The 17717-nt window shown below is 42.8% G+C and overlaps 1 pseudogene, besides 2 other annotated features; it reads left to right on the top strand.

The window, feature by feature from the left end:
- KRT8P22 (keratin 8 pseudogene 22) lies at positions 1125-2860 on the top strand (annotated as a pseudogene).
- Positions 14910-15079: an enhancer, noted in NCBI's record as "experimental_45605 CRE fragment used in MPRA reporter constructs". NCBI's record gives its function as "activates a minimal promoter by MPRAs in K562 erythroleukemia cells, with activity observed for the introgressed 16:78070000 variant allele {active_cell/tissue: K562}" and the evidence as "EXISTENCE:reporter gene assay evidence [ECO:0000049][PMID:34662402]".
- Positions 16309-16478: an enhancer, noted in NCBI's record as "experimental_45596 CRE fragment used in MPRA reporter constructs". NCBI's record gives its function as "activates a minimal promoter by MPRAs in K562 erythroleukemia cells, with activity observed for both the introgressed and non-introgressed 16:78068601 variant alleles {active_cell/tissue: K562}" and the evidence as "EXISTENCE:reporter gene assay evidence [ECO:0000049][PMID:34662402]".

Raw genomic sequence — 17717 nt, 5'->3', positions numbered from 1 at the left:
CATCTGATTAAAAAAATTCTTTCTTAACACAAAAAATTGCTAATAAATACCAAAAGCTCTAGGTCAACAAAGACAGGCATGCTTGATTAAATATCCATGGAGCTTATAAAATATCTGCCTAGGCCGTTGGCATTTGTAAAGAGACATTTATGACTCCAACACAATCTTTGCTATCATTGGGCTATGGCTAACATATCAATCTTGACCATCAGCTTTGACTTTTCCTCTGGAAAAATAACATAAGCTTTCTACATTTTCTACATTTCTGGCACCATACAGAATTCATGCATTTTAAGATACGCACACTTTCTCAGCAAATGAGGCTTTTAAGAAGCTGAAATAATATAAATTCTGCATACTTTAAAATCCATAAAGCAACAGAAACTCTCCACAGGGGACAGGGAAAGGGAGGCTTCAAAGCAGGAGGAATGTACATTAAACATAAAAGAGAGTTTCCTCTCTCTGAGGGTGAAGGACAATGTTTGCCAAGAATGTTCTTCTTTGAAGATGACTGTGAATAGAGCCGGTTTCTTTGCAGTAGTTTTTGGATTCAGGGAAAGAGTCTTTTGAATTTTTAAATTTTCATTCCATGTATTCTTAAATCTCTTGACTGATCTCTTAGTCTTTTGTGATGGTGGATGAATTGTTAGGCAAAAGTAACTTGGTGGAAAATATCTGAAAAAACTGAAAGGAGAAAGAAAGTGTTAAGTTGTTCTGCTTTTGGTGAGAATTCCCCAACGTGTGAAGATTACTTTTTGTTCTACTGTCCTGATGTTGAGTATCCAGTCATAATCCACTCCTTGCATTGTAGTTTGGGATGCAAGCTGGTCTCTGGGTAACAGATCCATTTAACTGGCAAATGCAAAAGTTAAGATGAGTCCTCCACTTAATGCAACTTTTTTCTCTGTTGCCAACCCCCTTTCTTTGGATTTATGAAGGATGCATTCTAGCTCTTATATTTTTTAATAAGGTAGGCTGAAACTTAATGGAAATAGTGCATTACTGAAATGCTAAGCTCTCAAATCAGTAGGATGTGTCTGACAAGCACCAAAGTATTAAAATAAGTTGGCGCATTGACGTCCAGTTACATATATAAAACGTGGTTCTTGATTTAAAAATTATGGACCAAGAAGCAGCTTCTCTGCTCCTTCTGGAATCTCCACTTGGTTCAGCCTGCCTACCTCCACTCTGCCTCCACTATGTCCATCAAGGTGACCCAGAAGTCCTACAAGGTGTCCACCTCTGACCCCTGGGCCTTCAGCAGCCTCTCCTACACAAGTGGGCCCGGTGCCCCCATCAGCTTCTCTAGCTTCTCCCGAGTGGGCAGCAGCAGCTTCCGGGGTGGCCAGGGTGGAGGCTATGCTGGGGCCAGTGGAATGGGAGGCATCACCATCATCACAGTCAACCAGAGCCTACTGAGCCCCCTTAACCTGGAGGTGGACCCCAACATCCAGGCCGTGCACACCCAGGAGAAGGAGCAGGTCAAGACTCTCAACAAGTTTGCTTCCTTCATAGAGAAGGTACGGTTCCTGGAGCAGCAGAACAAGATGCTTGGAGACCAAGTGGAGCCTCCTGCAGCAGCAGCAGATGGCTTGGAGCAACATGGACAAACATGTTCGAGAGCTACATCAATAACCTTAGGTGGCAGCTGGAGACTCTGGGCCAGGAGAAGCTGAAGCTGGAGGCAGAGTTTGGCAACATGAAGGGGCTGGTGGAGAACTTCAAGAACAAGTATGAGGATGAGATCAATAAGCGTACAGAGGTGGGGAATGAATTTGTCCTCATCAAGAAGGATGTGGATGAAGCTTACATGAACAAGGTAGAGCTGGAGTCTTGCCTGGAAGTCCTGACTGACGAGATCAACTTCTTCAGTCAGCTATATGAAGAGGACATCCAGGAGCTGCAGTCCCAGATATCGGACACGTTTGTGGTGCTGTCCATGGACAACAGCCGCACCCTGGACATGGACAGCATCATCACTGAGGTCAGGGCGCAGTATGAGGAGATCGCCAACTGCAGCCAGGCTGAGGCTGTGAGACCATGTACCAGATCAAGTATGAGGAGCTGCAGGCGCTGGCTGGGAAGCACGGGGGTGACCTGTGGCGTTCGAAGACAGATCTCTGAGATGAACGGGAACATCAGCCGGCTCCAGGCTGAGATTGAGGGCCTCAAAGGCCAGAGGGCTTCCCTGGAGGCCACCCTCGCAGATGCCGAGCAGTGTGGGGAGCTGGCCGTTAAGGATGCCAACGCCAAGCTGTCCAAGCTGGGAGGCTGCCCCACAGCCGGCCAAGCGGGACATGGCACGGCAGCTGCGTATCAGGGGCTGATAAACTTCAAGCTGGCCCTGGACGTCGAGATAGCCACCTACAGGAAGCTGCTGGAGGGTGAGGAGAGCCGGCTGGAGTCTGGGATGCGTAACATGAGTATCCATTCGAAGACCACCAGTGGCTATGTAAGTGGTCTGAGCTCGGCCTAGGGGGGCCTCACAAGCTACTGCCTGAGCTCCAGCTTTGGTTCTGGCGCCGGCTCCAGCTCCACCAAGGCCGTGGTTGTGAAGAAGCTTGAGACCCGTGATGGGAAGCTGGTGTCCGAGTCCTGACATCTGCCAAAGTGAACAGCTGCGATAGCCCCTCCCAGCCTGCCCGTCCTGAGGCTGCGCCAGAGCCCAGAAGCGAGGCTGCTGTGCAGGAGAGCTGGGCGAACGGGAGACCCACCTGAGGCTCAGCCCTAGCCCTAAGCCCACCTGCAGGGGAGTTTACTATCTGGGGACCCCCCTTGCCCATGCCTCCAGCTACAAAACAATTCAATTGGGCTTTTTTTTTTCTTTTGGCTAAAATAAAACTTGAGCTAGCTCTGCCAAAAATAATAATAATAATAATAATAATAATAATAATAATAATAATAATAGTGTTTGCTCCTTGTAGAAAGTGTAGAAAAATAAGAAAAAAATTTCACCCACATTATGTCGCCCATAGGGTAACACTTATTAACCATTTAATGCAGTTTTTTTTCCTTTTTTTTTTTTTTTTTTTTTTGAGAGTCTCGCTCTATTGCCCAGGCTAGAGTACAATGGTGCAATCTTGGCTCACTGCAACCTCTGCCTCCCAGGTTCAAGCTATTCTCCTGCCTCACCCTCCCAACTAGCTGGGATTATAGGCACCCACCACCGCACCTGGCTAAGTTTTGTATTTTTAGTAGAGATAGGTTTCTGCATGTTGGCTAGGCTGGTCTTGGACTCCTGACCTCAGGTGATCCAATGCAGTTCCTTTCAATCACCTGTGTTTGTTAATGGCTGCATGTTTAAAAATCTGGAATAGGCTTAATGTGCTGGAAACTTAATATTTGTAGTATGAGGACAAAATAACTTATGCAGTTCATTTGACCGCAGTTTGTTTTTGATTACTGTGAAAGCTCTGAAAGTTACAGCTATAAGCAACCTTAACCTGTTTTGCAAGTTACTCTTGCTTGTTACTTGATTTCTGGGGGGATGTTTTGTCTTTGACTTTGAGAATCTGCTCTCTAGACTTACATAAATATGACAGCTTGTGTTACTAATGTTAATAGATTAGTTAGGTAATATGGTTAGTTTTAATAGGTAAAACACAACCCAAAGAGCACTGTCTGTGGTCTTAGGCAGATCTGGACTCCAGTCCTGGCCCTGCAGCTTCAAACCTGTGCAGCCTTAAGCAAATCACCAAGCTCAAATCTCTTTGATCCTTAATTTCCTCATCACTAAAATGAGAGTAAAAACCTACATCATATGGTTATTGTGAGATAAAAATAGGTGCATATTCAAAGAAAATCACCAGATAAACTTGAATTGTCGTCACACAGCGTGACTTAGAATTTTTCTAAAAAATCAACACGTATCATAATATGTAAGTTTTTGTAAGTGAAAAAGCCATACTGTTAAAAGGTTAAATGGTACCTGGCCTTCTATTTTTCCTTCAAATGATACCATGCTAAAAGACAAATAATAAATTAAGAGTGTTCACTTTTTGAAGGGTAACTATAGGGCTGATTTAGGTTGCTCATTCTGGCTAAATCTACACCTTGGAAAATTACTGTCATTTTAATTTTCTTCCCATTGTTCTTGGAGTACTCGGGAAATTTATCATCTCTTCTCAGAGCCACCTGATACTTCATTTTTGAGCAAGTGCTTCTAAAATGATGAAGGCGTTTTTTATCTCCAGTTTTTAGAAACCAGTTTGCAGCTGGTGGTAATTTTAATTTTCTAAGTACCTCTTATGAGCAAAAAACTTTGTAATGCCTTTCTGCCTACATTATCTCACGAAACGGTCACAAAAACTTTAATGAAACAGGAATATTCCACTTTCTACATGTTTTTGTTTTTTTATTTTTGAGACTGGGTCTTGCTCTGTCACCCAGGCTGGAGTGCAGTGGTGAGATCTCGGCTCACTGCAGCCTCCACCTCCTGACCTCAAGTGGTCCTTCTGCCTTGGTCTCCCTGAGTGCTGCTGTTATAGGTGGGAGCCACTGTTCCCCGGCCTCTAGATGTTCTTAAATATTGCCAGCAATTTACAGATGAGGAAACCAAGTCAACAGATGAGTTGTTTTGATTCCTGGCAAAAAGCTGGATCGGTATCTCTGGCTTTTTTTCCCCATTACAGAGAGGGAGGCAAGACGGTCATTCCATCGGTTGTCACTGAGTTCCTGTCATCGGCTGCACTGGGGAGCGCGAGGCTAAAAGGGGGCAGTGAGTTCCCTTGGGTTCCTCCTCACCTGGGTGCCCAGGAGCAGATGGAAGCCAGGCCGCTTCCCTTTCCTTTCCAGGAGGCCGAGCATGTGCTGCTGGAGGACACTTTACGCGGGCGAAAAAGTGGCCCCGCTCAATCAGCCCTTTATGTTGTCCAAGTCCACCCGCAGCGGCCCGGGGAAGCCAGCGCTGCAGCAGCTCCGCTCGCGGCCAACACTTCAGCACCTGGCCCTAGCGGACAGCGCCAAGCGTGGCTGCAGGCCTGGAGGCCCAGCGCCCACCCCAGGCACCGCCCTGCCAGGGCCGCCGAGGGTACTTGGTCGCCTGGAACGTCCCAAGCAGCAGCACTGCCCTCAGCAGCCGGGTGCCGCGACCGGAGCCAGCGCCTCGCCGCTGTCCGGCCCCTTCGTCTCCGCGCCCATTGCCCGGCCTGTCCTTCCCTGGCCTGCCTTGAGCTATCTCCCCAGGATCCCGCGCTGTAGCCGCTCCCCGGGGCAGCATTCCATCCCTCGGGCCCGGACACGCTGCCTATCTGGGCCATTGAAATGTCCAAACACATAAACAAGTTTGAGAAGGGGTTGCTGTAAAGGTACCCTTCCTCCAGGCTGAGGGCTCTAGCCGCCCTTGGAGTCTATCCTTGATGGCTCGTCTTGAGACCTTTTAAAACTCCATTGTTGTGCTCCCTACTTTATTTAAAAGTATGTTTCGGGAGGCTGAGGCACGAGAATCGCTTGAACCCAGGAGGCGGAGGTTGCAGTGAGCCAAGATCAGGCCACTGCACTCCAGCGACGGAGGAAGACTGTCTCAAAAAAAAAAAAAAAAAAAAAAAAGTTACCAATCATAAGCCACTACTTTTTTTTTTGTTTTTTTTTTTTTTTTTTTTTTTTGAGACGGAATCTTGCTCTATTCCCAGGCTGGAGTGCAGTGGCACGATCTCGGCTCACTGCAACCTCCACCTCCCAGGTTCAAGCCATTCTCCTGCCTAAGCCTCCCGAGTAGCTGGGATTACAGGCGTAGCCCACCATGCCCCGCTACTTTTAGTAGAGATGGGGTTTCACCATGTTGGCCAGGATGGTCTCGAACTCTTGCCCTTGTGATCCGCCCACCTCGGCCTCCCAAAGTGCTGGGATTACAGGCGTGAGCCGCCACGCCCAGCCTATTACTGGTAACATTTAATGCTGATATCCATTGTCATATATGTCTGTGTTTAGTGTATTCCCAGTTGAATTTGCACAAGGCTTTTCGAAAGCAATTTCGCACCATGAAACAAAGAGTCTGTGGTAAATATTCTTTGATACTATAATTTCACTTCTGGAAGTCTAACAGCGGAGAAAAATCTAAAGTTGAAAAGTCAACCACACACAAAAATCACACAGATGTTCCTTTAAAAACTAATTATAAAGACTTATTACAGCATGATATGCAAAACTAGAAAAATGAAAAACATTTTTACTTATTTAAATAATGATTTTGTTTTTTTTGACAGGGTCTTGTTCTGTAGCCCAGGCTGGAGTGTAGAGGTGGAATCATGGCTCATTTCAGCCTCAATTCCCTGGGCTCAGGTGATCCTCCTGCCTCAATCTCTTGTATAGCAAGGACTACAGGCATGGGCCACCACATCTGGTTTATTTGTTTATTTTTTGTAGACACAGGGTCTTGTTAATGTTGCCCAGGCTGGTCTTGAACTCTTGGCTTTAAGTGATTAAGTGATCCCCTCTCACCTTGGCCTCCAAAGTGTGGGATTGTAGGTATGAGCCACCACACCTGGTGTCTTTTGTTTTTTTTTTCTCTTGACCTCTGCTATTGAAAGCCAACTAAACATTTGTATTTAGAATGTTTAAATAAAACTTCAACCATAAATGGATTCAAAACATGGAAATCATGCATGTGCTGAATGGATTTGTATATTGGAATATTATGGAACCAGGGAAAGTACATTATAAAAATGATAAAAAGTGCTTATTTTATAAGTAAAATAAAGCAGGACATAAATTTTTAGTACAGTTGATGTAATCTCTGCAACTTTTATGGGCGATGGCAGAATTATTTAGACAGTACTGGATACATGTGCTCAATAAATAGTAATTGGATAAATGAAAAGACAGGTGAAGGGTAGTTCCTAACATGTTTTTTCTACTTATAATTTTCTGTAGCAAGATATGTTGGTTTTATAGGAAACAACACTTTTTTTAAAGATGTCATGTCTAGAAACTTTGTTCATAAATTGTATTTTCAAATCTTGACTTTATTTTATTTGAGACAGGGTCTCACTGTCACTCAGGCTAGTGCAGTGGCATGATCACAGCTCATTGCAGCCTTGACTTCCTGGGCTCCAGCGACTCTCCCACCTCAGCCTTTTGAATAGCTGAGACCACAGGCCTGTGCCACCATGCCTGGCAAACTTTTGTATTTTTTTGTAGAGACAGGGTCTGGTTATGTTGCCCAGGTTGGTGTTAAACTTCTCAGATCAAGCAATCCACCCGCCCCCAGCTCCCATAAGTGCTGGGATTACAGGGCTGAGCCACTGCCCCTGGCTTCAAATCTTATCTCACAGTTCTGTGAGTGATGGTTTAATTCCCACTGATAGATGAGGAAGTGCGGGCCCAACACCTTATTCTTATGTGAAATCAGATTGTAAGTGCCGAGTCTAGGTCTTCTGACTCCAAGTCCCTTGACATTTCCTGACATTGAACTCGGCTGGTATGTTCCAGGCTCTGGTTTGGGAGACAGGAATCAAAATTGCAGTCCCTGCCCTGTCCCTGGCTTGCTGGGTGATTTGGGGGTAAGCCACTTTCCTTTGTGTCCCTTCCTTTCTTGGGCTCTTGACCTGGTGGTTTATAAAATCAATCTTTCCCACTGTTTCTTTCAGTGGAGAGAGGACTCTCTTAGGATGTTGGATATCCTGTCTAACGTTGCTCCCCTAGTCACTTTATCACTCATCTCCTTGTTTTTTCTTTCGTCATTTTCATCCTGTCAATTTATTATGTCCCTTTACCATGTCAACCTCTTGTTGACATTTTGTCATATTTTCAGAAATGGTATTTATTTCTTTGCTTATTATATATTTTACCTATCTAGATATAAGCTTTGTGAGGACACAAGTCCTCTCTGACTTTTGCTCATCTGTACCTCCAAAATCTAGCACAGGGTTGGACTCACTCATGGTTAGCTCGGTAAGATACTTGTGGATGAAACTGCAGGAATGGAAGTGTATGTATGATAAAGATAAGATGAGCTCACTTCTCCCACAACATCCCCTACTACTACTACTGGGGTTACCCCCATTAGTCTTGTCAGGAAATAAAATGCTAGAGCAGTAGTTCTTGGCTGGGTGATTTTTGCTATCCCAGATGACATTTGGCAATATCTGGAGCTATTTTTGGTTGTCACCATTGGGACATGCTACCGGCATCCAGTGGTCAGAGGCCAGGGAGGTTGCTAAGCTTCATACAATGCACAGGATGGCCCCAATCCACTCCAGCTCCTGATAAAGAATCCACAGATCCTAAATATCAGTAGTGCCAAGATTGAGAAACCCTGTGCTAGAGAGATTGAATGAGGTTAGTTTGCTTATCTGTTTTAAAGTTTTCATTTGGGTGATTGTTTTGAAATAATTTCAAGGATACAGAAAAGTTGCAAGAATAATATAAAAAATGACCTTCTCCCAGATTCTCCAATTGGTATCTTACCATATTACATTATCATTTTCTCCATATATGTAATTATTTTTTCTTTCTGAACTATTTAAGGCCAAGTTGCAGACATGATGTTTTGTTACTTCTATATAACTCAGTGTGCATTTCCTAAAAGGTTTTACATAAACACAGCACAATTACCAATTATGATGACCCAATGTCATTATCTAATTTAAAACCTTATTCATATTTCACATATTATCCCAACTGTGTGTGAAGCAAGTGTTTTATTCCTCTTGTATTTGGGATGATGGTGGAGCTTGAGTCCCTGGCTCTAACCCATCCCAGTGTTATTTAACAAGAATTAAAGCTTTATGCCGGGCGCGGTGGCTCACGCCTGTAATCTGAGCACTTTGGAAATCTGAGGTGGGCAGATCCCAAGGTCAGGAGTTCAAGACCAGTTTGCCAACATGGTGAAACCCCATCTTTACTAAAAATACAAAAAATAAGCTGGGTGTGGTGGTGTACTTCTGTAATCCCAGTTACTCCGGAGGCTGAGGCAGGAGAATTGCTTTAACCTGGGAGTTGGAGGTTGCAGTGAGCCAAGATCATGCCATTGCACTATCCAGTCTGGATGACAGAGGCGAGATTCCATCTCAAAAACAAACAAACAAACTTCTCCTGGAGCCAAACACTGATGATGAACTCCTGCAACTCACCAACTTTGTTGGGTTGAGTTTGGCCTTTGGATAACACCCCGAGTGATATCTTTAGACAGAGTCTGGACCTATTAGTGGAATTTTCTGCAGTGAGGATGGTACCAAGCCTCCTTCTGGCTTCCAGCTGAAGTGTCAAATCCTACTTCAGTACGACACACATCCTTGACAAATGGGAAGCTTCATGATAATGACTTATAATAGGAACTAATATCTCCCAAATTGAGGATTCTTTAACGAGCATTAACCTGAGCAATAACAGAAATCCTTCAAAAGGCTTTTTAGATTTTCTCTCTGCCTTGCTTCCATAATCTTTCTTGACATTTCAAATGAATTCTACCTGAAATCCATGAACCAACCTTGAATAGAAAGGCTTATAAGTGAATATTATTTGTCAGATACTAGATACTTGTTATTATTTAGTCTACTAGGGCTTAAAATTTCATAAGACTTATTGGATGTTCTTTTGTTCCTTCCCTTTTCAGCTTTCCTTTGATTCTCTGCTGCAGCACATAATTTTTTTCCTCTATCCTAAGAGGACCAGTGTCAGGCACGTTTCAGGTGCTACATAAATGGTGGCTATTATAAGTGATGTTGCTAGAACTGAAGCCAATGTATTAGTTCCCTGGGGCTGTTGTAACAAATCACCATACACAGGGTGGCTTAAAAATAACCGACAATACATCCTGGTTAACACGGTGAAACCCCGTCTCTACTAAAAACATAAAAAATTAGCCTGGCATGGTGGTGGGCGCCTGTAGTCCCAGCTACTTGGGAGGCTGAGGCAGGAGAATGGCGTGAATCCGGGAGGCGGAGCTTGCAGTGAGCCAAGATCGCGCCACTGCACTCCAGCCTGGGTGACAGAGTGAGACTCCGTCTCAAAAAAAAAAAAAAAAAAAAAGACTATAGCTGGGTGTGGTGGCTCACATGGAGAAGAAAGGCAAATGACGATGGAGCAGAGGCTAGGGTGATGTAGCACCAAGCCAAGGCACCTCAAGGATCGCCAGTGACCACCAGAAGCCAGGAGAGAGCCATATCTGAGTCTCTTCTCCTTTTCTTATAAGAACATCAATCATTGGACTTAGAGTCCATCCTAATCCAATATGACCTGATTTTAACACATTGCATTTGTGTCATAGCCCCTCAAATTCCTATGTTGAAGTCCTGATCCCTGTACCTCAAAATGTGTACAGTCATGGGCTGCATAACGACATTTCAATCAATGATGGACCGCATATATGACTGTGGCTGCATAAGATTATAATACCATATTTTTATTGTACCTTTCCTACATTTAGTTATGTTTAGATACACAAATACTTAGCATTGTGTTACAATTGCCTGCAGGATTTAGTACAGCAACACACTGCACAGGTTTGTAGCTTAGGAGCACTAGGCTACACCACATGGCCTAGGTGTGTAGTAGGCTATACCACTTAGGTTTGTGTAAGGACACTCTATGATGTTTGCACAACAAAAACATTGCCTAATGCCACATTTCTCAGAATATAACCCTGTAGTTAAGTGATCCATGACTGTACTTGGAGATAGGGCCTTGAAAGAGGTATTTAGGGTGAAATGAGATCACAGGGGTAGACCCTAACCCAATATAACTTATGCCCTTATAAGAAGAGATTAGAACACAGACACACATAGAAAAGACTTTGAAGACACCAGAAGATGGCCATCTATAAGCTGAGAAGGGAGCCCCTTAGAAGGAACCAACCCTGCTGACGCTTTGATCTTGGACTTACAGCCTCCAGAACTGTGATAAAGTATATTTCTGTTTAAAGCACCCAGTCTGTGTTACATTATTATGAAAGTCCTAGCAAACTAATGCAGTCTGCAAAGACCCTATTTCTGCCTGGGTGTGGTGGTTCATGCCTGTAATCCCAGCACTTTGGGAGGTTGAGATGGGAGGATCCCTTGGGTTCAGGGGTTTGAGGCATCATAGTGAGTTCTTGCCTATATAAAAATTTTAAAAATTAGCTGAGCCCCAAAAGTTGAGGCTGCAGTGAGCTGTGATTGTGCCACTGCCCTCCAGCCTGGGTGACAAAGTAAGACCTTGCCTCTAAAAAAAGACTCTATTTCCAAATAAAATGATATTTGGAGGTTCTGGATAGAAAATGAATTTTGGGTATCTCTGTTAAACCCACTGTACACAGTATAAGTGAAAGACTGCAGTGAGAAATAAGGCTAGAGGGATAGTCTAAGACCAGATTGTGGACAGCCTTGAATGCCAGGGTTAGGGTGTCTGGCCTTTTTTCTAGGTGTACCAAACTCTGCCAAACTGAGGATGAACATGTGAGAAGCATGGAGAGGAATGACAATGAATAGATGGGGAAGGTTTGTTGTAATTCCTAAATCATCTCATCCTTTGAGCATCCATGGTGTGTCAGAGTTAGGGAACTGGTGACCTTGAATTGGTGGGAAAGGCTTTCAGGGTGTGTATAACCCCAAGGGGTTATGAATGTGTTCTCCTATGCCAATCCTGATGACCAAGTGCTGGCTGCTGGAATTCCACCCCTGACAAGGACTGTATAATGAATTCAGGATGTCTGCTGTGGACAAAGGAGTGGGAAATTGGGGTTGCTACAGTTTGTTAGTTCCCTTTAAAACACTTGTTGAAATTTGGTTTTCATTGTAACAGTATGGAAGGTGAGAACTTTAAGAGGTGATTAGGCCATGAGAGCTCTGCCCTCATGAGTGGAATTAGTGCCATTACAAAAGGGTGAGTTCAGCTCCCTGCTCTCTCTCTCTCTCTCTCTCATGCACTTCCTTATTCTCCTGCCTTCCCCCCATGGGATGATGCAACAATAAGACCCTTTCCGGATACCAGCTTCTTGGTCTTGAACTCCCCAGCCTCCAGAAATGTGAGCTGATAAATTTCTGCTCTTTACAATTTACACAGTGTCTGCTATTCTATTACTGCAGCACAAACACACAAAGACAGATGCCCAGGTGCCATGTATTTGAGATCCCTAGTTTGGTTCTTTAACCCATTGAATTGGTTGCTGAATGTCTGCCATAGCTTGTTCAGAGTCCAATTATTGTGATTAGACCAACTACTTTTGTTTATAACCGTTTTGGAAATCAAAGCTTTAAAAATATTCTGTTGAGTGTTCTATTGAAGTCTCATCCAAGTACTTCATTGATTTTTTTTTCTTTTTTTAATCCGAACAGAGTAGCCAGATGATACCAAGTTAGAGGCAGTAATGTGTAAAATCGCTTTCATGAAGATGTTTTGGTTTATTTCCTTCAGTTCAGGGAGTAGAGCCCAGAAAGCTCTCACTTTACAGAGGCTTTGATCTTCCCATCTCAGTTTAGCTATTGGCTGTTGAGTCCTGCATTTGTTAGCCATTCATCACCAATAACGTATCCCATGATAATACAGTAGCTTTTGGCTCCTCTGGGTACAGTTTTGATGCAGTTTTTGGTTCTTGTTATTGTTTTTAATAAAGAAACCAAACTTCAGAAGAATGCAAAGTATTTAGGTATGGAGGTAAATAATTTGTTTTGAGTGAAAACAGAAGTTTCTTTTAAAGCTTTGTGTTCTCTGATAAAATAACTTGATCAAATTATTTAATTCATTAATTTAATGAGACTTAACATCATGATTGGAACCTGGGGCATAGAGAATAGTGCTTGCACTTAACCCTTGAAAAGAGGAAATATGTTAGCGCATTAACTCATTTATTCCATCAACAGTTAAATATTGAGCCTCTACCAAAAGTCATATTTCTCTGGAAATACAATCAAAAAACAATTTTTCTAGTTCTGAGCCCTTGGAGTTTATAGTCTAATAAGAGAAATAAATATAAATGTAACATCACATCTGAAAAATTGAAACAGACAGGAGGTGTTTGTGCTATGGGAATTTACAAGGGGATTTGATTCTGGAAGAGCCTGTTACTTAAAAACTTTCTATTCTTATTAAGGCTAATCTTGTTTGGGGTGGCAAAATATACAACAATATTTCCTTTTCCAGACTTTCATAGGGTTAGGGCATCCATATAGCAGAGTTCTGACCAACAAAACAAACTGCAGTCTCCTGGAGGATGTTGGTCAAAAGAGGGGCAAACCAGGCTGGTGGTGCTATTCTACGTGTCTTTATACCTTGAATGTGGATGTGATGTCTGGAGTTGCAGAAGACAACTTAGGATTATAAGAAAAGGCCCACAGAATAGCAGAAACATCATTCCTGGCCTTACTGATTTTCTGAAACAAAGAATGCTGCAATTCCTCACTTTCAGACTTCTTGTTATGTAATAGTAATAATTCCTATTTGCTTAATCCACTGTTAGTCATGTCTTATTTACTTGCAGCCAAGCACATTCTTAAGTGCTGTGAAGGGAGTCCAGAGAAAGTTTCCCTGAAGTCTTGATTAGCTAAAGTTTGAAGAATGAGCAAGGTTTAAGCAGACGAAGGAAGAGTTTCTCTGCAAATATTTGTGACAGGGGAGATTGGTGCCCACAAAGGGTGGCAGTACAAACGTAAAGGGAAGAGAGAATGGAGAGGGATGAAGGGCAAGACCTTGCAGCATTTCCAGGCCACATTAAAGTTTTGTTTTTAAGAAACTTGGAAAGCCATTGAAAGGTTTGAATTAGGGGAGGATAATATGATAATACTTGTCCATTGTTAGACAAATGCAATAAGGGCTGTGAGTTATATAAGGTATTATGAATGCACAGAGGAAGAAATATGTCTTGCAGGAGGGCAGAAAAGGTCACCATTGTGTTGAATATTAAATAAAGAGAAGAAAGTCACCAGAAACACAATGATAAGAAAGAGTTCTAGACAGAGGAAAGAGAAATATGATCAGAGTGCTGCTGGTGTAAATTAATGGTGCATTTAAGTTCCCATGAGTAGCATAGTTTGTCTCAAGTGTAGGGCTCCTCCATGAAAGGAATGGAAGGTGAATTTTAAAATGTAGGAATAGGCAAGATCATCAATCCTCTGAAACAAAGCCTGAGTTATAGTTAGGATGACAGTATAATTTATTACCCAAACTGGGAAACTTTCAGAGTGAAAAAGGGTGCTATAAATTTTTAAACAATTGTCATTCATCAGCACTCTCCAGGGCAAATTGGAATGTAATCCATGGTCACTCTACTTGGGTAGATTAAATATATTGGACAACTGGAATAATTGGCTTTTAATAAGATAAAATTTGCACATACCATCTCCCCTTAAAAATGCATGTCCCACTTCTAGAAAGCTATCACAGATGCTAAGAACCTGCCTTTGGAGTTGCATGTAATAATTCCAATTTATACAGTTAAACAGTTAAACTGACTTCCAGCTTTTGAAGCTTTGAACTCGGCTTCCATTTACCAAATATGAGATGCGTTTCTACTGCTATCTACCTATCTCCATGAACCCATTTTCTCTTTCAATTGGAATACAGGTCTTTCTAGTCTCATTTCTCTTCATGGCTTATGTTAATCAGAATTCTTTTGATTGCAAGTGACAGAAACCCAACTGTGGGAGACATGCTGATCACCACCAAGTATTCGAGCTCTCTACCTCCTGGGCACATGGCTGAACTGCACTTGCAGGTATCTCTCAGAGTGGAAATGTTTACTATTTCTGTATCAGATCATTTAATGGCTGCTGTGAGTCTCTCCAAAACTCTTTTCCTCTGCTGTAGAGAATGACAGTAGTTGCTTCTCCATCCGCTGGTTTCTAGAATGAGCACAATGCCGAGAAGAGCCCCTTTTTAATGCACGAAGAATATGAACATGAAGGGACAGTAGTAACCTTTGCTGTTTGAAGCCACTCAGGTTTTGAGATTGTTACTGCATCATAACCTAGCCTATCTTGGCTAATATGCCAACTGAAACTAGCACAAATGAAAAGGAAGAATTGTATTCTGTAGTTTGGAGGCATTGTGGGGCAGCTCACAGAATGTACAGAAATAGAACCCGGGCCTTAGGGGATTGAAATGATGGACTAAGAACTATCAGAACACACACATTTTCTCCCTGTTGTTTTCTTTCCCTTCCCTCTCCTTCCGTTTTTGTCCCCTTATTTCTCATCACTGCTTATCTTTGTTTTGCTTCATTCTGCACATTGCACTCATCTAGAAAGAAAGAATTCTGCCAGAAGCCCTAAATTTACTTTGTCCTTATTGAACATGTCCAGGGGAAAGTGTTCCATTGCTCCCAGTTTCCAGGTGACAACCACTGGAAAATAATCTGATTGGCTCTGTGTGGGCTGCGGATACCTCCCTGAACCACCCACACTGAGAGGAGAAGTGTCAGCTTTGCTTGCTGGCATGTGTGCACATGTTTTTGACTATTGTATATTCACTTTATAGTTCCTTAGCAGAATTTTATTTAAACTATTTTCCATTTTGTGGGTGTCAGTTTAGAAAAAAATTAGATAGTAATCCATCTGCTTAATGCCATGTGTAATTATAGATCCTAATATTGTCTTCACAGACCCCCGCAGGTAGTCTTGCTCTCTTGCGTGATATGACTGACTTTTTCTGTCTCTCCATATTACCTATTACCGTTAGTAGATAGCCTTTGAATTTCTTGCACCAGATTAAATAAGATACTGAGCTTACTAAAATTTGATGTTATTTATTGCATCCTCCAAATACTAAATTTTGGGGGTTTCATTTGTTAGATGTGCCTTTTTTGGTGATGTTATGGAAGTTCTTGCTAATCTGAGAGAAGAAAATATTTTATATTTCTATTTGTTTAATTTATTTATTTTGTTACTGTCTTTTGAGATGGGGCCTCACTATGTTGCCCGGGCTAGACTGCAGTGGCTATTTATGGGTGTAAGCATAGTGCACTGCAGCCTCAAATTCTTGGCCTCCAGTAATAGAACTTTATTTTTAGATAAGAAATGCTGCCCAGAAATAAATGAGAGTTATATAAGATCTAGCACAGTACCTGAAATGTGAGGAGAATGCACTTACTTACCAGTGTCTACCTATTGCATTAGGGTCGTTATCTTTAGGAAGACTATGGTTATGTTGGAGTACAGAGTTGGCCAAAATCAACCAGATAAGTGGGAAAGAGAAAGAAGCCATTGAGCCTTGCAATAAGCCAGTTCTTCACAATACTAATTGAGCCTGAGTCTGTTATAGGTGTTTCCTTTAGCTTACTGATTTTTCTTGTTATCTCACTTAATGACGGGCATGGAAGCATTTTGGTAAGTAGAAAATTGCTGTCTGTATTGTTCCTTACTCAGAAGAACTGTAAATCTTACCCTTTTGTGCTAGCAAGCAGCAGAACTACAATTAATCAGAGATGGTGTCTGGGCAAGTAGCTGAAACTTTAGAACCTTGCTACTCATGCTGTGGTCTGTGGTCTAGACTTTTGGTGTGCACTGGGAGCTTGTTGGAATCGGCCCAGCCCCATGGGATCTGTGGTTTAGCAAGGGCCTCAGGTGATCTGCAAGCATTTAAAATTGGGAGAAGCACTGCTCTGAAGATTAGAATCAGCTTCCTGGTAAGGTTTGGGGAGAAGCACTGCTCTGAAGATTAGAATCAGCTTCCTGGTAAGGTCTGGGGAGAAGCACTGCTCTGAAGATTAGAATCAGCTTCCTGGTAAGGTTTGGGGAGAAGCACTGCTCTGAAGATTAGAATCAGCTTCCTGGTAAGGTTTGGGGAGAAGCACTGCTCTGAAGATTAGAATCAGCTTCCTGGTAAGGTTTGGGGAGCCTAGACTGTTTGGGCTTCGAATGTAACTGACATCTTTGGGAAGACGGGAAACGCCTACCTTCCTGAAGATGTCAGTTATATTCGAAGTTTTATCACCTGACACTTACATGATACAATGTTCACATCCTCTGACCATGACCTTGTAGGGGAGACATTGCTAATTCTTTATGTCATTGTTTCCACCAGGCTTCAGGATGCTTCTCTATCCTCTAGTCCAGACAGCTTTTATGGAAGCATAAGAGTTGGCCTGAGGCTGGGAGCATGGGCTTATGCCTGTAATCCCAGAGCTTTGGAAGGCTGAGGCAGGAAGATCGCCTGAGACCAGGAGTTCTAGACCAGCCTGGGCAACATGGCAAGACCCCTGTCTCTACAAAAGTAAAAATTAGCTGGGCATGATGGCACACACCTGTCGTCCCTGCTACTTTGAGCCCAGGTGGTTGAGGCTGCAATGAGCCATGTTTGTGCCATTGCACTGCAGCCTGGGTGACAAAGCAAGACCCTGCGTCAAAAAAAAAAAAAAAAAAAAAAAAGTTGGCGTGAGAGTTAAGAACAATTTATCATTCCTGCCTGAAGACCATTTGTTTGCTAGAGAGTACCCAACAGGCAAAACAGACCAAAGAGAAGTCTAGGTTAGGGAATCTTGTGGGTGTGGCTTTCATCTGCTTTGTTGGCTAAGTAACAAAGTCGAGGTCATGAGTTAGACCCAGGAACAAACCAGGTAATCTTTTAATCCATTCCTTCCAGTTTTGCTGTTTCCCATCATCTGTGCTTTGTCTTGCTAACTGATCTTGATATTCGCTAACCCTCATCTTGATGTCACTAACCTTCATCTATTCCTTTGCATTAACTTACTCTCTTGGTCTTCTTGAGGCACTTTGGGAAGGATTGCCTTATTTAATGGATCATCTTCAAATGTTGTCTTTTTTTTTTTTTTCAATAGGGTCTCACTCTGTCTGTTGCCCTGGCTGGAG

The sequence above is a fragment of the Homo sapiens genome, chromosome 16, assembly GCF_000001405.40.
Source record: "Homo sapiens chromosome 16, GRCh38.p14 Primary Assembly".
Lineage (NCBI taxonomy): Eukaryota > Metazoa > Chordata > Mammalia > Primates > Hominidae > Homo > Homo sapiens.
The sequence above is the reverse complement of the archived record's forward strand: the minus strand, read 5'-3'. Positions and strand labels throughout refer to the sequence as shown.